The sequence below is a fragment of the Homo sapiens genome, chromosome 7 (genome assembly GCF_000001405.40).
Source record: "Homo sapiens chromosome 7, GRCh38.p14 Primary Assembly".
In the NCBI taxonomy this organism is placed as follows: Eukaryota; Metazoa; Chordata; class Mammalia; order Primates; family Hominidae; genus Homo; species Homo sapiens.
This window is the reverse complement of record NC_000007.14, coordinates 64,782,873-64,807,429: the sequence shown is the minus strand read 5'-3', so window position 1 is coordinate 64,807,429 and position 24,557 is coordinate 64,782,873. Positions and strand designations below refer to the sequence as shown.

General features: G+C 41.8%; 1 protein-coding gene across 20 annotated transcripts in view, besides 4 other annotated features; it reads right to left on the bottom strand.

Annotated features, from left to right (window-relative positions):
• Positions 1 to 13,002, bottom strand: part of ZNF138 (zinc finger protein 138) — a 66,396-nt gene extending 53,394 nt beyond the window's left edge. For 16 of the 20 annotated variants that reach the window (NR_160269.1, NR_160268.1, NR_073389.2 and 13 more), the window contains exon 1: positions 12,859 to 13,002. Coding sequence is in view for 8 of the 20 variants with exons in the window: in NM_001271637.2 (NP_001258566.1) it covers positions 12,859 to 12,861 (3 nt within the window). In the remaining 12 variants the exon portion in view is untranslated. Of the gene's footprint in view, positions 1 to 8,031; positions 8,240 to 11,661; positions 11,721 to 12,858 lie in introns of all 20 variants that reach the window. The other 4 variants (NR_160271.1, NM_001367572.1, NM_001367574.1 and 1 more) reach the window with 2 other exon arrangements.
• Positions 12,402 to 12,962: an enhancer, noted in NCBI's record as "H3K27ac hESC enhancer chr7:64254846-64255406 (GRCh37/hg19 assembly coordinates)". NCBI's record gives its function as "activates a minimal SCP1, AML or CMV promoter by ChIP-STARR-seq in naive H9 embryonic stem cells {active_cell/tissue: H9 hESC(naive)}" and the evidence as "EXISTENCE:reporter gene assay evidence [ECO:0000049][PMID:30033119]".
• Positions 12,402 to 12,986: a biological region, named in NCBI's record as "H3K27ac hESC enhancer GRCh37_chr7:64254846-64255406".
• Positions 12,747 to 12,986: an enhancer, noted in NCBI's record as "active region_26064". NCBI's record gives its function as "activates an Ori minimal core promoter by ATAC-STARR-seq in GM12878 lymphoblastoid cells {active_cell/tissue: GM12878}" and the evidence as "EXISTENCE:reporter gene assay evidence [ECO:0000049][PMID:35858748]".
• Positions 13,227 to 13,276: an enhancer, noted in NCBI's record as "active region_26063". NCBI's record gives its function as "activates an Ori minimal core promoter by ATAC-STARR-seq in GM12878 lymphoblastoid cells {active_cell/tissue: GM12878}" and the evidence as "EXISTENCE:reporter gene assay evidence [ECO:0000049][PMID:35858748]".

Sequence of the window (24,557 nt, the reverse complement as noted above, 5' to 3'; positions counted from 1 at the left end):
AGTTTGAGAATTGTAACCTGGAAGCAAAGATTCAAGTTGCCTGAAATCTGCGCTTTGATTAGCAGCAGTTATAAGTGGATTTGTAAAGGCAAAAAGAGGGACAGAGTGCCCAGACCAGCTAGGTTGTGGAGACCCTAACCCAGGGGCACTAGAGGAATTAAAGACACATGCACAGAAATATAGAGGCATGAAGTGGGAAATCAGGGGTCTCACAGCCTTCAGAGCTGAGAGCCCTGAACAGAGATTTACCCACGTATTCATTAACAGCAAGCCAGTCATTAGCATTGTTTCTATAGATATCAGATTAAGGATGGGTTTGGCTTGTTATCTGCAGCAGGAGCATGTCCTTAAGTCACAGATCGCTCATGCTATTGTTTGTGGTTTAAGAACACCTTTAAGTGGTTTTCCACCCTGGGTGGGCCAGGTGTGCCTTGCCCTTATTCCGGTAAACCCACAACCTTCCAGTGTGGGTTTTATGGCCATCATGAACATGTCACAGTGCTGCAGAGATTTTGCTTATGGCCAGTTTTTGGGGCCAGTTTATGGCCAGATTTTGGGGAGCCTGTTCCCAACAACAGAGTGGGCTGATAAAAGGTTGCCAGAAATTCTTATTTACAAAAAATAACATTACTAATTGGATATACATTGTTAAGCTATAGGGCATGGGTTATAGTGTCCAGTGTGTCATTATTAGTTTAATTTTTAGCTACTTGTAGAAATAGCAAGCAGTTTCAAGAAATAAATACACAGCTCAAAGAAGGGATAAAGACATAATTGTGGTCTCATTTTAATGTCTCTTTGAGCCTTGTAACTAAAAGAATTTGCATTTCTCAAATAAATGTTTGTTTGTTTTCCCCAAATCTCAATACCTAGATTCAGAGTTTGGAGCTGCAAATTTAGGTACTGGATGGGTGGAGTAGCAGCAGGTGTCATCTGTACATTGTGGGCATTGTAAGAGGAGGAGGAAAGGGAAAGGGGAGATTCTCATGCCTGCATGTCTACTCAGTGCACATGCTACTCTGATTGGGTTTCTGGGCCCCATGGTCTCTGAATCAGTTTCTGGTCTAAAGAGTCATTGAAAGAGGTAAAATGGTTGATTGCTGTCCTATGAAGTATTTAGAAATCAGGTCTAGCCTCTCTAAATGTTAACTATAGAGTACTATAGATACAAAATAGGCAGAGACACAATTCTGCCTGCATATTTAGGGGACAGCATGCACTTTGCAGCACAACCGTGAGTTGACTGGAAGCCTGAGAAAGGCCCCTCTAGATTAAAGCTTGGTTGGCACCCTGTATGTTTATATTATATGTGGTTATTCTACAGTGATTGGAAAATATAATTAAAAGAAAAGAGTTCTCCAGCACCAGAATAACTCCACAATGACAGAACAGAAAGAAAGCTGTTTTATTACACAATTCAACCAAATGTGACATGCATCACACTCAATCTGTTTAAGAGATTGCAAAGACAGAAAGATGGTCACCATAATTAATCCACAAGTAGAATTTACAACACCATGTCATATGTAGTTCATCCTAAATTCACCTGGTAATTGGGGAGGCCATCCATGTGTGTTAATTGGTTATAACCAACGACAAAATAAACTTTTCACATCTTCATGACAAGAGGTAATTTTGCAACTTGAAGCCAGGTGCCTGCTGAAGGTAGGCTCTCACTCTCCTATAGAAATGGTTGAAGAGGGTGCTATCTTTATGGCTATTTACTTTATGGCTATGCTACGCCCTGAGCACTGGGCTACAGCACTCCTGCTTGCCCTCTCCTAGTGGCTGGTGTCCTCTCTTGACTTTTACCATCTTCCCTTGAGACACAGCCCACAGCACAGGGCTCACAGCTGGCAGATTACATCTTACATGAATCCCAATTGCCACAGCAGCACTCCAGTGCCACATCGGAGTGAGGCCTGAACTGCAGGAGGAGCCTGCAGGACTCCTAGGTAGAATTGCACCTTCACAGTAATGGAAATAGGAGCACTGTTTCAGCCTCAGTTTTTTTTTTTGTTTTGTTTTTTTGAGACAGAGTCTTGCTCTGTCGCCCAGGCTGGAGTGCAGTGGCGCAATCTCAGCTCACTGCAACCTCCACCTTCCGGGTTCAAGCAATTCTCCTGGCTCAGCCTCCTGAGTAGCTGAGATTACAGGCACCTGCCACCACGCCCAGCTAATTTTTTTGTATTTTTGGTGGAGACGGGGTTTCACCATGTTGGTCAGGCTGGTCTTGAACCCCTGACCTCGTGATCCACCCACCTCGGCCTCCCAAAGTGCTGGGATTATAGGTGTGAGCCACTGCGCCCGGCCATCAGTTTCTATTTATAGTGGTGACATGGAAAAAATACTGCTGGATTTTCAGCATGAGTCCAGATAGGGATAGCTCCAAGAGTTCTCCTGTGACAGCCCACCTCATTCACAGACACCATGGGATAGAAATAGGGTCTCAAAGAATTTTTTTTAAACACCCAAAGTGCACCGCTACTCTCGACATGAGAAACACGGGTGTTATGAAGAAAGGGAGCAGATTCTCAGCAGAATTTAATAGGTTTCTCTTCCATCTCTGCCGCTCTCATCTCCTAGCCATTAAATGAGAGGATCTATAATGGAATGCCTCTGACAGTTTTCACCAGAACATTTTCTTTTGAGACAGAGTCTCACTCTGTCACCCAGGCTGGAGTGCAGTGGCACGATCTCAGCTCACTAAAGCCTCTGCCTCCTGAGTTCATGTGATTCTTGTGCCTCAGCCTCTGGAGTAGCTGGGATTACAGGCATGTGCCACCACACCTGGCTTATTTTATATTTTTAGTAGAGATGGGGTTTCACCATGTTGGCCAGGCTGGTCTTGAACTCCTGACTGCAATGATCCACCCACCTCCGCCTCTCCCTGTAGCAGGACAAGCTGCAGACAAAAACCCCTCAGACACTGAGTTAAAGAAGGAAGGGCTTTATTCAGCCGGGAGCTTCAGCAAGACTCACAACTCCAAACAACTGAGCTCCCCGAGTAAGCAATTCCTGTCCCTTTTAAGGGCTCACAACTCCAAGGGGGTCCACATGAGAAGGCTGTGATCAATTGAGCAAGCAGGGGGTACATGACTGGGGGCTGCATGCACCGGTAATTAGAACGGAACAGAACAGGACAGGGATTTTCACAGTGCTTTTCTATACAATGTCTGTGATCTATAGATAACATAGCCAATTAGGTCAGGGGTCAATCTTTAACTACCAGGCCCACGGTGTGGCGCCGGGCTGTCTGCCTGTGGATTTCATTTCTGCCTTTTAGTTTTTACTTCTTTCTTTGGAGGCAGAAATTGGGCATGAGACAGTATGAGGGGTGGTCTCCTCCCTTATCCCCACCAGAACTTTTTAATGAAGAATTGGAATATGACTTTGTTAATATAGTGGAATATATTTGAGCTTGCATCATGGGTAAGTGAAGAGCTATTACGGTTTTTGGGTGGCCACATCACCCTTGTTTATTTTTCCTGTAACAGCAGCATTCCAATTTAGTGAAACGAAAGACACTGAAGTTATGCTTACCTATAATTATCTCTATTGGATAAATTAGTAACCATGTTATACTAATATCTACTGTAATAATTTGATAGTAACTTTTTTGATTAGATACACTTAGTATAATTTTAATGTACTATTTATAATGTACATAGGATTTTTAAAAATTGTCTGTAACCATAATCCAATTAAAACACTTTATATTCCAAATGTATGAATATAAAAATATTGAAATTACTAAGGGATTCATTCAAAGCAAATATTGTGGTGTTATATTCACACTACTGTATAAAATACTGCTTAATTTATATGAATGCAGTTTGTCTACAAACACTACACATAACTATGCTAATTGTTCTGAAGTAATAAGCAGAAACCAAAGCACAACCACAGACTCCACTGTTCAGTTCATACACTGAACCTCGCTTTTGCAATGTAAGTACTTCAGCCTGCAAATATTAAATAATTACCTTGGATAATCTGTTTTCTGTCAAAGGAGCTTACTTGGTATCTTTTAGTCTTCATCATTCTGTATTGCTAAATGTAATCCTATCTTTGTGCTCAACTTTTGTGTGCTCTTAAAATGAGCTTTAATCTAAACAAATCTGTGTCTACCTTAAAAGATACAGATTAAATGAAAAAAAAAAAAAAAAAACCTTTGCCAAAGCAAAAACAAAGCAATGAATCTGAGGTCCTAGATAAAGACAATCCTGAGTCAAAAACAATGACAAAAGATTTAGCTGTTAATATGATTTACATATCTTTCAAACAACAAAGAAAAAAATCTACATATAATTTAAGTGCTTTAAAGAAAAATAAATTAACAAAATATCCTCCCTTATTTTCATGCAGGAGAATAAACCCTCTTATTTCTAATTTATATTTTCTCCTACAGTGAGATATTGAGAAGTACACAATTGTTATGTAAGAGGGGGGTAGGGAAAAATAGTCACTCATGCCATTGTCTGGCTCAGTGAATCTGCATTTTTTTTTTTTAACATAAGACAAGACAAAACGAGGCAGGGGAACAATCAGATATGCATTTGTGTCTGTTGGGCAGGGGGGTGACTGTATCTGTAAAGATAAGCTATCAGTTTACATTTTAACAGAAACACCTTAGGGTAAAGATCTTGCGGCTCACTAGAAATTTTCTTGTGGGCAAAAGATGGGGGAGGTATGTAGCTTTTCTTCTTGTAGCCATCTTATTTAGGAACTGAGGACTAAGCTCTGAATTTTTTATCTTGCCCAAATTTCTATCTAATTGTTTGTAAGGGGTCATGCCCTACAAACCATAAATTCTCATCAGATGGGTTTTATTTGACCCTATAGATCGTGACTTACTTTCCAATCTGACTCTGGCGTAACATTATGAGACAAGAAAAAAAAAATCAAAATATTTAACACCAAAATATATTTTCTTGCCATGCCTTGAAATTGCCCTGCAAAAGTCTCTTGTGGGAAAAATGTACATTCTATAGACAATCCCCTTTCCTCTTTTGTTTTCCTTCCTTACATTCCAGATCCAGGAGATAATCAATCAACTAAGAGCCAGGCACCTTTTTAAGTCCAGTAAGAAGAAACATTTTTACAACCTGCTGTCTCTGAAGTCTGCTATCTGAGATTCCTCTCCACAATAAAACTTGGTCTCCACAATCCTTTATCTTAACCTGAACATTTTCTTTCTATTGATCCGAGGTCTTCAGATATACTCAACCAACTGTCAACCGGAAAATGTGTAAATTTGCCTATAGCCCGGAAGCCGCCACTTTGAGTTGTTCTGCCTTTCGGACAAATCCATGTATTTCTTAAATGTATTTCATTGATGTCTCATGTCTCCCTAAAATATATAAAACCAAGCTGTAACCCGACCACCTTGGCCTGATCACAGGACCTCCCGAGGGCTGTGTCACAGGCCATGGTCACTCATATTTGGCTCAGAATAAATCTCTTAAAATATTTTACAGAGTTTGACTCTTCGTCAACAGAGCCAAAAGAGGAAGGCAGGTTTGTGTGACCCCGTTCCCAGCTTAACTTTTCTGTTTGGCTTAATGAGTTTTGGGTCCCAAGATTTAATTTCCTTTCACAGGTGCACATGAATAAGGCAAGTTCTTAGAGATTTATGAAGAGACTTAGATTCTGATACAATAGTGGGAGACTACAACACCCCACAGACACTATTAGACACATTATTGAGGCAGCAAATTAAAAAAGAACTAAACTCAATACTTAACCAAATAGCCCTACTAGAAATCTACAGAACTCTCCATCTAAAAACAACATAATATATATTCTTCTCAGCACCATGTGGCACATACTCTAAAATTGACCACGCAATCCAAAATAAAACAATCCTCAGCAATTTCAAACATCCCAAAATTATACCAACCACATACTCAGACCACAGATTGATTAAAATATAATTCAATACAAGGAAAACCACTTGAAACCATACAAGTACATGGAAATTAAACAACCTGTACCTGAATAACTTTTGGGTATATAATAATATTAAGGCAAAATCAAAAAGCTCTTTGAAACAAATGAGAACAAAGTACAGCATATCAGAATCTCTGCAACACAGCTAATGCAGTGCTAACAGAAAAATTTATAGCACTAAATGCCCCCATAAAAAAGTTAAAAAGATCTCAATTTAACAACCTAACATTATGAATAAAATAAGGAGAGAAGCAAGGGGAAACAAACCCCTAAGCTAGCAGAAGGCAAAAAATAACAAGAGCTGTACTGAAGGAGATTTAGACATAAAAAACTATGCAACAGATCAAGAAATCCAGGAGTTAAATCTATTAAAAAAATTAATAAGCTAAATAACCCACTAGCAAGATTAATGAAGATTCAAATAAATACAATTAGAAATGACAAAAGGGACATTACCACTGACCCCAGAAAAATACAAATAACTATTGAAGTCTACTATGAACACTTCCATGCACACAAACTAGAAAATCTAAAAGAAATAGTACATTCCTGAAAAATACATCCTCCCAGGACTGAACAAAAAAGAAATTGAATCTCTGAATAGAACAATAACAAACTACAGAACTGAATTAGTAATAAATAGCCTAGCAACCAAAAAAAGCCCAGGACCAGAGACATCCACAGCTAAATTCTACAAGATGTATAAAAAAAAGAGCTGGTACCATTCTTTCTAAAACTATTCCAAAAAATTGAGAAGACACTCCCTCCTTCAACTCATTAGGTAAGAACAGCATCATTCAGACACCAAAACCTGACACAGATATAAAAAGAAAACTTTATGCAAATATCCTTGAGGACCATTGATATGCAAAAATCTTCAATAAAATACTGGCAAATTAAATTCAGCAGCACACCAAAAAGTTAATCAGTTATGATCAAGTAGGCTTTTTCTCTGGGATATGAGGTTGGTTCAACATACACAAATTAATAAATGTGATTCGTTACATTAACAAAAATAAAGATAAAAACTGCAAGATTATCTTAATAGATGCAGGAGCTTTCAAAAAAATTTTAACATCTTTCATGTTAAAAACCTTCAACAAACTAGGCATTGAAGGTACATATTTCAAAATAACAAGTTATCCAAGACAAACCCACAACCAACGTACTGAATGGACAAACTGGAAGCATTTCTCCATGAAAACTGGCACAAGACAAGGATGCCTTCTCTCACCACTCCTATTCAACACAGAATTGGTAGTCCACACCACAGTTAATCAGGCAAGAGACTAAAATAAAAGGTATTCAATAGAAGAGAAAAAGTCAAACTATCCCTGTTCACAGACAACATAATTCTATATCTAGAGAACCCACAGAAAAGTTCTTCTCTTTTCTGTCTCCACAGAAACGTTCTTTAAACTGAAGAAGTGAAGCAAAATTTCAGAATACAAAATAAATGTACAAAAATTAGTAGGATCCCTGTACATCAGCAGCATCCAAGCCAAAAGCCAAATCAAAAACATAATCCCAGGCTGGGCCTGGTGGCTCACACCTGAAATCCCAGCACTTTGGGAGGCCGAGGTGGGTGGATCGCCTAACACCTGAGGTCAGGAGTTCAAGACCAGCCTGACTAACATGGTGAAACCCCGTCTCTCCTAAACAAAAAATTAGCCAGGCGTGGTGGCACAGGCCTGTAATCCCAGCTACTTGGCAGGCTAAGGCAGGAGAATCGTTTGAACCCGGGAGGTCGAGGTTGCAGTGAGCCAAGATTGCACCATTGCACTCCAGCCTGGGCAACAAGAGCGAAACTCCATCTCAAAAAACAAATAAACAAACAAAAATAAAAACACAATCCCATTCACAATTGCCACAAAAATAATAAAACATCCAGGAATACAGCTGATCAGGCAAGTGAAAGATCTCTACAAGAATTACAAAACACTGCTTAAATAAGTCAGATATGACACAAATATATTGAAAATTACTTTATGCTCATGGATAGAAAAGATCAACATCAGCTGGGTGGCATGACTCAGCCTGTAATCCCAGCACTTTGGGAGGCAGAGGCGGGCAGATCACCTGAGGTTGGGAATTCAAGACCAGCCTGAACATGGAGAAACCCCGTCTTTACTAAAAATATAAAATCAGCTGGGCGTGGTGGCGCATGTCTGTAATCCCAGCTACTCAGGAGGCTGCGGCAGGAGAAATCACTTGAATCCAGAGGCAGAGGTTGCGGTGAGCCGAGATCGTGCCATTGCACTCCAGCCTGGGCAACAAGAGCAAAACTCTATCTCAAAAAAAAAAGAAAAGAAAAGATCAATATCATTAAAATGGCCATACTGCCCTAAGAAATTTACAGATCTAATGTCATTCTTATCAAGCTACCAAAAACATTCTTAACAGAACTAAAAAAACTATTTTAAAATTCATATGAAACCAACAAAGAGCCTGAATAGCCAAGGCAATTCTAAGCAAAAAGAACAAAGCTGGGCATTACATTATCCAACTTGAAACTATTCTATAAGGCTGTAACCAAAGCAGCATGGTAGTGATTAAAAAAAAAAAAAAAAGGCTCATAGAACAATGCAACAGAATAGAGCCAAGAAATAATGCCACACATCTACAACCATCTGACCATCTGATCATCAAAAAAGCTGACAAGATCAATGTAGGAAGAATTTCCTTTTTTTTTTTTTTTTGAGTCGGAGTTTCACTCTTGTTGCCCAGGCTGGAGTGCAATGGCTCAATCTCGGCTCACCACAACCTCCGCCTCCAGGTTCAAGCGTTTCTCCTGTCTCAGCCTCCTGAGTAGCTGGGATTACAGGCATGGGCCACCATGTCCGACTATTTTTTTTGTAGGGTTTCTCCATGTTGGTCAGGCTGGTCTCAAACTCCCGACCTCAGGTGATCCACCCGCCTTGGCCTCCCAAAGAGCTGGGATTACAGGCGTAAGCCACCATGCCCGGCCAGAATTCCCTATTTAATAAAATGGTACTGGAATAACTAGCTAGCACTATGTATAAGATTTTCTTTTTTGTATTTAAAAAAATAGCCGAATTTTTCTTCAGCGGTCAAATAAAATACTTCTTAATCAAAATATAGTTAAGTTTATCTCCTTCCCACAGCTCCTGAACTTTGAGCTACTCAGTCTGAGCCAACATACAACCCCATTTTATGTTTCTCCTAAAAACTTGCTGACTTCAGGGTAAAACATTTTCTAATCTAAAATCTGATTTGGGCTGAGCGTGGTGGCTCACGCCTGTAATCCCAGCACTTTGAGAGGCTGAGAAGAGCAGATCACCTGAGGTCAGGAGTTTGAGACCACCCTGGCCAATATGGCAAAACCCCATTTCTAGTAAAAATACAAAAATTAGCCCGGCATGGTGGTGGGCGGCTGTAATCCCAGCTTCTCAGGAGGCTGTGGCATGACAGTCACTTGAACCCAGGAGGCAGAGGTTGCAGTGAGGTGATATCCAGCCACTGCACTCCAGCCTGGGCAACAAAGTAAGACTCTGTCTCAAAAAAATAATTTAATTAAAAAATAAAAAATAAAATCTGATTTATACACCCTCCATTTGCCATTCCCCTCTCACCTTCTAATCTTTTTTGCTCCTCCCTAAGAAAGCCTTTATCTGCCTAAACTTTGCAATCCTTAAAGATTATATAGTTGGTACTTCCTTCTGTTGCAGTATTTTAGAATTTTTTAAAAAATAAACCTAATTTTGTTTTATTTTACAAAGTCTAGAAACTGCCTCAAAACAATAACAACTTCATCCTGAGTATGACCCTCCCAATCCCCTTCCATCTTAATGTTTACTGCATCTGCCTGTGGGTCTCCAGTTTTCCAGGGCTCTGTAGCTTCTCTCAGTATAAAGGTTCTTCCATGGCTGGGGTGAGCAGGCTCCGACATCCGCAGGGGAGGCTTCCTAGAAAGAACTAACTGGGCCTTTAATAACCTCCCTTCCCTTTGTAGGCTCAATATTAGCCTTAGCTTGCAGTCACTGGCGCAAGCTTTAATTTCCATGTCGGAGTTGTTCAAATGGTTTTTTAAACTGAAAAATTCAGCAAAATTACTCAAACACAGTGTTTATATAAGGGAAGGAAATTTTAAAGCACTTACGTCACATATCTCAAATGCAAAAGTATGTAATCTTTTAAAACGATAAATAATTATTTTATTATATCCATTAAAAATGATGTAGTAAACAATTAGTCATATGGGAACACTTCTAGGATAGACCAAGTTTCATCTTAAAAAATTTAGCATTAACCTCAGAAATCAAGATGACTGGATACAGAAGAGAGGTATTCACTGAAATGTACCCTGAAAAAGGAGGAACTGATATTTTCATGAATCTGTATAACTCACCAATTATCTACCACATCTTCTTGTGGAAATGTATTCATTTTCTTTCTTTCTTTTTTCTTGAGATGGAGTCTCGCTCTGTCGCCCAAGGTGGAGTGCAGCCGCACGATCTCAGCTCACTGCAACCTCTGCCTATGGGGTTCAAATGATTCTCCCACCTCAGCCTCCCGAATAGCTGGGATTACAGGTGCCTATCACCATTCATGGCTAATTTCTAATTTTTGTATTTTTAGTAGAGATGGGGTTTCACCATGTTGGCCAGGCTGGTCTAGAACTCCTGACCTCAGGTGATCTCCCTGCCTTGGCCTCCCACAGTGCTGGGATTTCAGGCATGAGCCACCGCACCCCGCCGGAAATGTATTCGTTTTCCACAGCCAAAATGGAAGAAGTATTTTCCCTATTCTTTTCCTTGGTAGCATTCTAAAAGCTAAGCCTTGGAATACTCTTGGACATCACCCAGCCATAAAAAAACAGACCTGAGAAAATTCCTAAACTCAGTCTGGGAAAGAAAAAGGTAAATGAGAATACTTAACAAATAGAATATATGATTAGATATTTTTTTCCAAAACCCATCTCTTTCATGCCCATTCTAATTATCCTCTTACCTTTTAGTCCTACTAATAAACTGCAAGTTACAATTAAAACACTGAAGTAAGTGAACAAATCTTTTCAGGGTGACAATCCCAGGGAGTGGCAGTGCTGATTAAAAAACAGATGTATCTCACTCACATGTCAAGTCAAGCCACCCAATCACTTGAGAGATTCTCCCACCCCATCCTGCTCACTTAAGTGCTAAACGACCACCCTCTCTGAAGACCACCCTCTCTGAAGACGCTGCACTATGCCTCAGTGACTGCCCCAAGTACATTTCACTTTGCAAGTTCTTGAACCATCTCACTGGGGTAAGGTTTGATTTGTCTTTTTGGATACTATCATTTCTTTCACAAATCTTAGAGAATCCAGTGGGCCGAAATTATTTCTGTGTTCTCCCCTCAATACCAGCATATGATTGATTGACCAGCAATATGTCTCCGGAAATGGACACTGGGTTGGTTTGAAGACAATCTTAACTTCTCAAAGGGTTTGCTTTTCAAAGGAAGAGTACACCAGGAGATTCCTCTCAGCCCCAGGGCATTCACCTGCTCCCTTGAGAGGCTACACTCCAACCTCAGGTTGTCCTCTGTCTCCCATTCCCAGATAACCAGAGTTCATTCCAGGCCAGGAGCTGAAATTTACCAGAGATTCTAGCATACACAGCCACAGTGGATATTTTGATTTATCCTCAGAAAGTACTGAAACCCAGGACCAAGGAAAAAACTGAAGAGTGACTAAGGACACATTACCTTATAAAGTTTCCAAAGGGAAACCTTGACCCAAAAATATTCTGATAAGATCTCTGTACCTAGGGAAGATTTAAAAAAAAAAAAAAAGGCACAGAGATTTTTTACAATACAGCATCAGGGGATGAGTCTTTGGTTTCTTCTCATGGGAAATATTTACAAACAGATAACAAATCTTTTTTAAAATGCCATCCATGCTTTGTCAAAAAATGATTAATTAAAATACAGTATTTCAAATGTACACTAAAGGACAAATAGTTGATAATGTGAATTAGGAAGGGGAAGTTGGCATTTGGGAATGTCAGAAGGAACTGGAAATTTAGTATTTTACTGCAAGCCAGAGTTAGGCTGAAGGAATGGGAAATGGGGAGGGGGAGGAGTCTTGAGACCCTGCTTGGGACACATGTGAAAAATGAAGGGGAAGATCTGTCCCCTGTGGAGTGTGAAAATAATTAAGTGGCAGGCAATTAGACTGAGGTCGCTCCAGTCCCAGGGTTTCTGGTTTTAAAAAAATCTAACTCAAATGCATTTTTTTGTAAATTACTACCTTGTGAAAAATAAAATTCATGTTTAACCAACTGTAAACTGCCAATTAACCTCTGATTACATGACCAGGAAATTTCCTCCTTCATTGTACAAATTAAGAAACTACATAACTCTACTAACCAATTACTGAATTTGGTTTTATCATACACCTTATACAAGTGTTTCCTTCAAACCCCTCCCACGGACCACTACTGCAAACCACAGCTGGGTGCTCCACAATTCTTGAATCACTGTTTGATTAAATTAATTTTTTTGCGGTGACTTTCATAAATTTTAATAGGGGAAAAGAGGGACAGGGAAGCCCGCGGAGGAAACCTCTTCCCATTCATGAACCCAGCACCCCGAGTCAGGATTCTCCCCTGACGACCCTCCCGTCGTCTCTGCACAATCGCTGCGGGTGCAGAGCTGCTCAGAGAGGGCTCCAGGCCAGGGCACAGTCACTGCGCAGGGAGGAGACAGGACGCCTGGTTCCGGCTGTCAGCCCAGCTGCCATGCTATGGCTTAAGGGGACTGAGGGCCGAGCTGTGCCAAGAACTCGGGGCCGCGGATTTTGCAGCCGACTGCGGGAAGACCCGAGTACTGCCACAGCCACTTCCGACCGGTTCCAACCAGCTCCCTCCCCCTCTCTCGGGATGTCGGACCCAGCACTCTCACCATTTCTAGGCTTCCGGGGGATCCTGGCGTCTTAGCTGTGAATCTCCCAATAACCAGATCACAGCGCCACAGAGGCTGGGCCTCTAGGAGTAAGAGGACGCAGAAAAGTGAAGGCCAGACCTGCAGCACCCGCTGCAGCGAGACAAAGACCCCGCCGCCTCCCGGAAGACGTCATGTCCGCTCCAGCTGGGTGCCTGATTGGACCGTTCCCAGCCCGGCGTCCCTGATTGGATAACGTTTAACAACCCGCCCCCTCAGGCCCTGAGTGACAGATGTGCTCAGGTGCTGGGCTGAAGGAAGACAGAGTTAAACCTAAGCAGCAGCCTTTTCCAGAAGGGCTTCCTCCCTGAGCTGAGTCAGGCCCACCCCAGAGGGCATTTGCATTTAACCTTGTGTATAAGGTCGTATGCATTTATAAATAACATATAGCTATTCACATCTGAATATAACAATTATTTTTAAATTCCAGATTTTATAACCGTACTGGCTTCTGGTCCTTTGAGCAGGCAGCCTGAGATTTTTTTCTTTTTTTTTTTTGAGACAGAGTCTCACTCTCACCCAGGCTCAAGCACAGTGGCACGATTTCGGCTCACCCCAAACTCCGCATCTCGGGCTCAAGTGATTCTCCTGCCTTAGCCTCCTGAGTAATTGGGATTACAGGCACCCGCCTCCACGCCCGGCTACTTTTTGTATATTTAATAGAGACAGAATTTTGCCATGTTGGTCAGGCTGATCTCGAACTCCTGACCTCAGGTGATCCACCTGCCTCGGCCTCCCAAAGTGCTGGGATTACAGAGCACATGTGAATTCCAAATTTTCTAGTAGTCAAACTTTAAGAATAAACAGGTGGAATTCACTCTAATTGAGATGGTTAGTCATTTAGGCTGGGCTCAGTGAGACCATTCTTGTGACCTCAGCTGAGTTCCTTCAGACATGTATCATCAGCTGCTTGTTGACTAGGCAGCTGTGCTTCTGGGGGTGAGCTTCTGCTTCTGAGGCTGTCAACAGAGGCAACTTGCTTCTCCTCCCCATACTATTTTATCTTCCATCTGGCTAACATGGGCTTTTTTCGCGGAGATAGTAGCCTTCTGAAAGAAAAACAGAAGCATGCAAAACCATTTGAGCCTACGCCTCAAACTAGCACACTGCACTGTTCACAGGTTTTTACTGCCCTGAGCAAATAAGGCCAGCCAGATCTAGGGTTTGGAAAACAGAACTGGATCTCAATGGAAACAGCTGTAAATGCACCTGGCAATGGGCATGGATAGCGGAGGGATGAAAAATTGCTAACATTTTTGCAATCAGTATCATTCTGCCTTTTTTTGCATATGTGGTTTATATAACTCTTCCACATCAAAAAAAAAAAAATTTGTGCAAAGACCCACAGCTATTAAGTGGCTGGGCTGGGACTCAGAATTAACTCCATTTGACCCTTGAAATCCTGGAGAGTGACACTTCTAAAATAGAAGCCAGATTTCTTTTAGATTTGTGCCCATATAGCACTGTTTATTATTATTGCTAGAAATAATCTTAAGAAATTGAAGAAGCACACGGTAGCTCACATCTATAATCCTAGCACTTTGGCAAGCTGAGATGGGAGAATCACTTGCGCTCAGGAGTTCAAGTGCAGCCTGAATAACATAGTTAAGATCCTATGTGCATGAAAATTTTTTTTTTTTTAATTAGCCAGTCATGGCCGGGCGCGGTGGCTCATGCCTGTAATCCCAGCACTTTGGGAGGCCGAGGAGGGCAGATCACGAGGTCAGGAGATCGAGACCATCCTGGCTAACACGGTGAAACCCCGTCTCTACTAAAAATACAGTCCCAGCTGCTCGGGAGGCTGAGGCAGGAGAATGGCATGAACCCACGAGATGGGGCTTGCAGTGAGCCAAGATCCCACCACTGCACTCCAGCCTGGGTGACAGAGCGAGACTCCGTCTCAAAAAAAATAAAAAATAAAAATAAATAAAAATAAAAATTAGCCAGCATGAGGCAATCCTGTAGTCCCAGCTACTCAGGTGGCAGAGGCAAGAGGATTACTTGAGCCTGGAAGGTCGAGGCTGCAGTGAGCCATGATTGGTTACGACACTGCACTTCAGCCTGGGTGGTGAGAGTGTGATCCTTTCTCCAAAAAAAAAAAAAGAAAAGAAAAGAAACAGAAAAGAAAAAAGTTGCAGGAGCATTTCAAAAGGACATAGCATATGTGGAAAAAGATAGATGAGGGATGAGTTGAGAAAATCAAAGCCCAGCAACACATTACTTATTTTTTATCATAGATAAAATCTGTAAACATCTAAAAAAAAAAACAAAACCTTCAGAGAAATTGAATGTAACAGAGTCTAAATGAACAAAGAATGATTTGCAAATCAGGCAGCCTGTGGGCCCAGAATAGGCTCAGAGAGACTCCAGCACAGCAACATGGTAAAAAAATTGATCAACAGAAAAAGCAAAGTGGCATACAGAAAATGAAATTGAGGTACAGAAACAGCCAAATTGATTACAGCTTGGGATTTGCCTTATTTGAACATGGTTTGAAGAGTTGATGTCCTTTTATTGGCAAAATCACAGTGGCTGGTACAGGAATGGGTTATAATCTACTTACATATCCAGTTAGGTTTCAGTTTAGTATGTACCAAAAAAAAAAAAAAAAGAAAAACAAACAAACAAAAAACCTACTGACCAAAATTAAACATGAAAACAGAGAGCTTCAGGCTATAATTTAACAATTTCTCCTTTTTGGTTATCTTCTCAATTTTGAGAGATAGACCAAGTTATCAGCTAAATAAATGGTCTCCTCATTTCAACCAAGCAGCCTGTTTCTTAAACCCCCGTAACTGAATCTCTGTAATACGTGTAATATATTTCTGTATAATCTCTATAATATATTTCTCCATGTGCAACTATGCATATTAGCAACTACACAGATACTTTTCTGTTTATGCAATAAGTAATCTCAAGAAATTCCATTATTTAGCACAACTTTAGTAAAAAAAGTCTATTGTGTAACCATAGCCTTTGCAGTAGAATCTGCTATAGAGACTATTATGAAGGATAAATGTCTAACCAATGCCTGATTTTTTTACCCTGAACCATGAAAAAAAAAAAAAAAAAAAGACCTAACAAATGATGCTTATTTAGAAGAGTAATGGCCAGGCAATGCTCTGAAACTTATTGTGAATGAGTTCTTTTTAACTTCTGAAGTAGGTTAAGAGCAGTGGACCTATATTCTGTGTTTCTGATATTATGAGGCAACAAATGTCCCATTAGAATTTCTCACCCACATTGACCCTTCATCTTGTACCTATCAAGGCATAAGTTTGTTCATATATAAAGTTGGCTGCAAAATTCTCTAGAGAATTAGATAATTAGTAGAGACGGGGTTTCACCATGTTGGCCAGGCTGGTTTCAAATGCCTGACCTCAAGTGATCCAACCGTCTCATCCTCCCAAAATGCTGGGATTACAAGCACGAGCCACTGTGCCCAACCTAATCCCAGCACTTTAAAAAGCCAAGAAACAAAGACTGTTTAAGCCTAGGAATACAAGTCCAGCCTGGGCAACATGGCAAAACCCTATGTTTACAAATAATACAAACATTAGCTGGGTATGGTGGCCCGCACTTGTAGTACCAGCTATTTAGGAGGCTGAGGAAGGCGAATTGCCTGAGCCCAAAAGGTCGAGGCTGCAGTGAGCCGTGATCAAGCCACTGTACTTCATTCTGGGTGACAGAGGGAGACCCTTTCTAAAAAAAATAAAATGCCAAAGCATATAAACTTAAACTTATGGAGTTTTCTGTGTTTCTTGTTTTTATCATTACTATTTCAATAGTTTTGGGGGTACAGGTGGTGTTTGGTTACATGAATAAGTTCTTTAGCAGTGGTGTGTGAGATTTTGGTGCACCCATCTACAGAGCAGTATACGCTGTACCCAATGTGTAGTCTTTTATCCCTCAACCCCACACCGCCCTTTCCCCCAAGTTTCTAGAGTCCATTATGTGACATAATTCTTATGCCTTTATATCCTCATAGTTTAGCTCTCACTAAAAAGTGACAACATGCCATGCTTGGTTTTCCATTTCTGGGTTACTTTACTTAGAATAATGATCTCCAACTTTATCCAGGTTGCTCTGAGTGCCATTATTTTGTTTTTTTGTTTGTTTGTTTTGAGACAGAGTCTTGCTTCGTCGCCCAGGCTGGAGTGCAATGGCGCGATCTTGGGTCACTGCAACCTCCGCCTCCCGGGTTCAAGTGATTCTCCTGCTTCAGCCTACTGAGTAGCTGGGATTAGAGGCACCTGCCACTACACCCAGCTAACTTTTGTATTTTTAGTAGAGACAGGGTTTCACCATGTTGAACAGGCTGGTCTTGAACTCCTGACCTCAGGTGATCCGCCCGCCTTGGCCTCCCAAAGTGCTGGGATTACAGGCCTGAGCCACCACACCCGGCCTGAGTTTCTTGCAGATTCTGAATATAAGTCCTTTGTTGGAAGCATGGTTTGTGAACCTTTCTTCTCACTCTGTGGGTTATCTGTTTACTGCTTGAATTATCTCTTTTGCTGTGCAGAAACTTTTCCGTGTAATTAAGTCACATTTATTTATCTTTTTTTGTCGCATTTGGTTTTGGGTACTTGGTCACAAACTTTTTGACTAAGCCAATGTGTAGAGGAGTTTTTTCTATATTATCTGCTAAAATTTTTATAATTTCAGGACTTAGACTTAAGTCTTTGATCCATCTTGTGTTGATTTTTTAAATCTTTTTTTGTTTGTTTGTTTGTCTGAGGCAGAGTCTCGCTCTTTTGCCCAGGCTGGAGTGAAGTGGAACAATCTCAGCTCACTGCAATCTTTGCCCCCCTGGTTCAAGCGATTCCCCTGCCTCAACCTCCCGAGTAGCTATGTAGCAGGATGAGCCGCAGACAAAACTCCTCAGACACTGGATTAAAGACGGAAGAGTTTTTTATCTGGCCGGGAGCGTCGGCAGACTCACGTCTTAAAAGCCGAGCTCCCCGAAAGAGAAATTCTTGGCCTTTTTAAAGGCTTGCAACTTTAAGGGGTCCACGTGAAAGGGTCGTGATACATCAAGCAAGCATGGGAAACGTGACTGGGGGCTACATGCATCAGCTAACAGAACAAAAAGCTTTACAATGCTTTTTTCATATAGTGTCTGGAATTTACAGATAACACAAGTAGTTTAGGTCAGGGGTTGATGTCATTATTGTTACTTTTTTTAACTCCTAGGGCCGGGTGGTGGTGCCAAGGTTGTCTGGCTATTTATCTTACTTTTGTTTTTTTTCCAACTTTTTGCTTTTTCTCTCCTCCTGTCTTGTGAACTAGGCAAGGTGTGGGAGGAGGGCAGCAGGAGTAGTAGTGGTCTCCTTCCTTAGCTGGAATTACAGGCACTGGCCACCACACCCGGGCTAATTTTTGTATTTTTGTATTTTCTTATTTTTTTGAGATGCAGTCTCGCTCTGTTGCCCAGGCTGGAGTGTAGTGGTGTGATTTGGGCTCACAGCAATCTTCGCCCCTGGGGCTCAAGCGATTCTCCTGCCTCAGCCTCCCAAGTAGCTGGAATTATAGGTGCCGGCCACAACGCCCAGGCTAGTTTTTGTATTTTTGTATTTTTTTGAGACGAAGTCTCACTCTGTTGCCCAGGCTGGAGTGCAGTGGCACGATCTCGGCTCACTGCAACCTCCATCTCCTGGGTTCAAGCAATTCTCTTGCCTCAGCCTGCCGAGTAGCTGGGATTACAGGCACACACCACCACACCCAGCTAATTTTTGTATTTTTAGTCTCCATGTTGGTCAGGCTGATCTTGAACTCCACACCTCGTGATCTGCCCGCCTCAGCTTCCCAAAGTGCTGGGATTACAGGCGTGAGCCACCCCGGCCAATTTTTGCATTTTTAGTAGAGACAGTGTTTTGCCATGTTAGCCAGGCTGGTCTGGAACTGCTGGTCTCAGGTTATCTGCCTGCCTTGGCTTCCCAAAGTGCTGGGATTACAGGTGTGAGCCACTGCACTCCACCTTGAATCATTTTTTTTTAGACAGTCTTGCTCTGTCACCCAGGCTGAAGTGCAGTGGCAGGATCTCTGTTCACTGCAATCTCTGCCTCCAGGGTTCAAACAATTCTCATGCCTCAGCCTTCTGAATAGTTAAGATTACAGACATGTGGCACCATGCCCAACTAAATTTTGTGTTTTCTAGTAGAAAACGGGGTTTCACCATGTTGGCCAGGCTGGTCTCAAACTCCTGACCTCAATTGATCTGCCTGCCTCAGTCTCCCAAAGCGCTGGGATTACAAGCATGAACCATCGTGCCTGGCCTTGAGTTAATTTTTTTATAAAGTGAGAGAAAAAAATTCAGTTTTATTCTACTACATGTGGCTTTCCAATTATTTCCGCACCATTCATTTAATAGAGTGTTCTTTCCCCACTTTGTGTTTTTGTTTACTTTGTTGAAGATCAGTTAGCTGAAAGTATTTGGCTTTATATCTGGTTTTGCTATTCTGTTCCATTGGTCTACATGCCTATTTTTATACCAGTACCATGTTGCTTTGGTAACTATAGTCTTGTAGTGTAGTTTGGAGTCAGATAATGTGATGCTTCCAGATTTGTTCTTTTTGCTTAGTCTTGCTTTTGCTATGCATGCTCTTTTTGGTTCCATATAATTTTAGGGTTTTTTTTTTCTAGATCTGTGAAGAATGATGATGTTATTCTGATGGAAATTGCCTTGAATTTGTAGATTGCTTTTGGCATTATGGTCACATTGACAATATTGAGTCTACCAATCCATGAGCATAACATGTGTTTCTATAATTTCTTTCAGCAGTCTTTTGTAGTTTTCTTTGCAGATATCTTTCACTTTCTTGGTTAGGTCTATTTCTATTTATTTATTTATTTGCAGCTGTTGTTAAAGGGGTTGAGTTCTTGATTTTATTCCCAGCTTGGTCACTATTGTTGTATAACAGTGCTGCTAATTTGTATATTGATTTTGTATTCTAAAACCTTGCTGAATTCATTTATCATATCTAGGAGGATTTTGAACTAGTCTTCAGGCTTTTCTAGATATACAATCTTATCACTGAACACTGACAGTTTGACTTCCTCTTTACCAATCTGAATGCACTTTATTTCTTTCTCTTGTCTATTGCTCTGGCTAGGACTTCCAGTACCATGTTGAGTAGAAATGGTGAAAGTGGGCATTCTTGTGTTTTTCCAGTTCTTAGGAGATGTGGTTTCAACTTTTCCCCATTCAGTATAATATTGGCTGTGGGTCTGTCATAAATTGCTTTTATTATCTTAAGTTCTGTCTACTCTATGCCAATTTTGCTGAGGGTTTTAATTATAAGGGGATGCTGGATTTTGTCAAATACCTTTCCTGCATCTATTGAGATGATCATATGATTTTTGTTTTTAATTCTGTTTATGTGGTGTATCACATTTTTAAACCATTCCTGAATCCCTCGTGGTAAAACACACTTGGTAATTGTGTATTTTTCTGATATGCTATTGTATTTGGTTATCTAGTATTTTGTTAACAATTTTTGCATCTATGTTAATCAAGAATATTGATGTGTAGGGCTTTTTTGTTATATCCTTTCCTAGTTTTTGTATTAGGGTGATATTGGCTTCATAGAATCATTTAGGCAGGATTCCCTCTTTCTCTATTTTTTGGAATAGTTTTGGTAGAATTGATACCAATTTTCCTTTAAATGTCTGATAGAATTCAGCTGTGAATCCATCTGGTCCTGAATTCTTTGTTGTCAACAATTTTTTTTTTTTTTTTTTTTTTTTTGAGACAGAGTCTCACTTCTTCACCCAGGCTGGAGTGCAATGGAGCTATCTTGGCTTACTGCAACCTCCACCTCCATGGTTCAAGCAATTCTCCTGCCTCAGCCTTCCAAGTAGTTGGGATTACAGGCACGTGCCAGCACGCCCAGCTAATTTTTGTATTTTTAGTAGAGACGGGTTTTCATCATATTGGTCAGGCTGGTCTTGAACTCCTGACCTCAAGTGATCCGCTCACCTTGGCCTCCCAAAGTGCTGGGATTACAGGCGTGAGCCACTGTGCCCAGCCGTCAGCAATTTTTTACTACTGTTTCAATCTTGCTACTCGTTATTGGTCTGTTCAGAGTTTATATTTCTACCTGGTCTAATCTCAGAGAATTGTGTATTTCCAGAAATTTATCCATCTCCTCTAGGTTTTCTAGTTTTGTATGTAAAGGTGTTCATAGTAGTCTTGAATAATCTTCTGTATTTTTGCGGCATTGTTTGTAATATATCCTGTTTTGTTTCTAATTGAGCTTATTTGGATCTTCTCTCCGCCTATATTGGTTAATCTCACTAGTGGTCTATCAATTTTATCTTTTCAAATAACCAGCAATTCTCTCATTTATCTTTTGTAATTTTTGTTTCACTTTTATTTAGTTGTGTGCTGATACTTGTAACATATTTTCTCCTGCTAAGTTTGGGTTTGCTTTCTCCTTGGTTTTCTAGTTCCTTGAGGTATGAGCTCAGATGTTTTATTTGAGCTCTTTCAGACTTTTTGATGCAGGCATTTAATGCTATGAACTTTTCTCTTAGCACTGCTTTTGCTGTATCCTAGAGGTGTTAATAATTTGTGTCACTATTATCATTAAGTTCAAAAAATTTTTTTAATTTTCATCTTCATTTCATTGTTGACCCAAAGATCATTCAGGAAAAGATTATTTAATTTTCTGGTATGTGTATTTTGTTTTGTTTTGTTTTGTTTTTGTTTTGTTTTTTTTCTCTGTGCTCTTATAATCACATACAGACACTGCATATATACGTAGACAAATACAAGAGGTTTTAGTCGTTTCATAAAGTGGGATCATACCATACATACCTTCTTTTTTTTTTTTTTTTTATTGATCATTCTTGGGTGTTTCTCGCAGAGGGGGATTTGGCAGGGTCATAGGACAATAGTGGAGGGAAGGTCAGCAGATAAACAAGTGAACAAAGGTCTCTGGTTTTCCTAGGCAGAGGACCCTGTGGCCTTCCGCAGTGTTTGTGTCCCTGGGTACTTGAGATTAGGGAGTGGTGATGACTCTTAGCTGCCTTCAAGCATCTGTTTAACAAAGCACATCTTGCACCGCCCTTAATTCATTTAACCCTGAGTGGACACAGCACATGTTTCAGAGAGCACAGGGTTGGGGGTAAGGTCACAGATCAACAGGATCCCAAGGCAGAAGAATTTTTCTTAGTACAGAACAAAATGAAAAGTCTCCCAAGTCTACTTCTTTCTACACAGACACGGCAACCATCCAATTTCTCAATCCCTTCCCCACATTTCCCCCCTTTCTACTCCACAAAACCGCCACGGTCATCATGGCCCGTTCTCAATGAGCTGTTGGGCACACCTCCCAGACGGGGTGGTGGCCGGGCAGAGGGGCTCCTCACTTCCCAGTAGGGGTGGCCAGGCAGAGGCACCCCTCACCTCCCAGACGGGAGGCTGACCCCCCCACCTCCCTCCCAGACGGGGCGGCTGGCCGGGCAGGGGGCTGAACCCCCACCTCCCTCCCAGACGGGGCGGCTGGCCGGGCAGGGGGCTGAACCCCCACCTCCCTCCCGGACGGGGCGGCTGGCCCTCCCGGACGGGGTGGCTGCCGGTCGGAGACGCTTCTCACTTCCCAGATGGGGTGGCTGCCGGGTGGAGGGGCTCCTCACTTCTCAGACGGGGCGGTTGCCAGGCAGAGGGTCTCCTCACTTCTCAGACGGGGCGGCCGGGCAGAGACGCTCCTCACCTCCCAGACGGGGTTGCGGCCGGGCAGAGGCGCTCCTCACATCCCAGACGGGGCGGCGGGGCAGAGGTGCTCCCCACATCTCAGATGATGGGCGGCCGGGCAGAGACGCTCCTCACTTCCTAGATGGGATGGCAGCCGGGAAGAGGCGCTCCTCACTTCCTAGATGGGATGGCGGCCGGGCAGAGACGCTCCTCACTTTCCAGACTGGGCAGCCAGGCAGAGGGGCTCCTCACATCCCAGACGATGGGCGGCCAGGCAGAGACGCTCCTCACTTCCCAGACGGGGTGGCAGCCGGGCAGAGGCTGCGATCTCGGCACTTTGGGAGGCCAAGGCAGGCGGCTGGGAGGTGGAGGTTATAGGGAGCCGAGATCACGCCACTGCACTCCAGCCTGGGCACCATTGAGCACTGGGTGAACGAGACTCCGTCTGCAATCCCGGCACCTCGGGAGGCCCAGGCTGGCGGATCACTCGCGGTTAGGAGCTGGAGACCAGCCCGGCCAACACAGCAAAACCCCGTCTCCACCAAAAAAATATGAAAACCAGTCAGGCGTGGCGGCATGCGCCTGCAATCGCAGGCACTCGGCAGGCTGAGGCAGGAGAAGCAGGCAGGGAGATTGCAGTGAGCCGAGATGGCAGCAGTACAGTCCAGCTTCGGCTCGGCATCTGAGGGAGACCGTGGGGAGAGGGAGAGGGAGAGGAAGAGGGAGAGGGAGAGGGATATGTGTATTGTTTTGAGGGTTCCTTTTGGAGTTGATTTCCAATTCTATTTCACTGTGGTCTGAGTGTACTTGATATAATATTAATTTTTTAAAATTTATTGAAACTTGTTTTGTGGCATATCATATGGTCTATCTTGGAGAATATTCCATGTGCTGAATAAAAGGAATGTATATACTGTAGTTGTTGGGTAGAATGTTCTGTAAATATTTGTTATATCCATTTGTTCTAGGGTATAGCTTAAGTACACTGTTTCTTTGTTGAATTTCTGTCTTGATGAACTGTCCAGTGCTGTCAATGGAGTATTGAAGGTCCTTCACTATTATTGTGTTGCCATCTATCTCGCTGCATTTCTAAAGGGACAACTCGGGTGATACAGTAAAGTTTATATTTCCAAAGGACAGAGCTAACACTTTAGGCTAAAACATTTTCTCATATCTTCAACTCAGGAAAATATGCTGTAAGTAAAATTTAGTTAAAATAAGATGGGCCGGGCACGTTGGCTCACGCCTATAATCCCAACATTTTGGGAGGCCGAGGCGGGCGGATCACCTGAGGTCAGGAGTTCAAGACCAGCCTGGCCAATATGGCAAAACCTTATCTCTACTAAATATACAAAAAAATTAGCTGGGCATAGTGGCAGGCACCTGTAATCCCAGCTAGTCAGGAGGCTGAGGCAGGGAGACTTGCTTGAACCCAGGAAGCAGAGGTTGCAGTGAGCCAAGACATGCCATTGCACTCCAGCCTGGGTGACAGAGCAAGACTCCGCCTAAAAAAAAAAAAAAAAAAATATATATATATATATATATATATATGTAAAAGATGGCCAGAAAAGCACCTTAAACAAAGGTATGACTTGTGTAAATTTAAAATAATAGTCAATGTTTTTAATGTAACACAAACACCTTGCAAATGGAGATTTCATTTACAGATATAAATTTCTTTTACAAAATACTTTCAAAATAGTTAAATATCAGAAAGTTCTAATTTAGTTCAAAGGTGGTCTTTCAAGCTTAACTACTGTTTCCTAGGTATAATTAAGAGTTGAAGTTGAAGCCCATTCAAAAATAAAAAGAAGAAAGAATTCTCTAAGCCTGGACTCAGCATGGATAAATCTGAAAAAGAAGCCTTTACCTGAGGGTCTACTTTTACAAACACTTTATCTGGGATAGCTTTCTATTTACCTTCAAGGAGGGAGAGCAACTAAAGAAAATGGTAGATTTAATC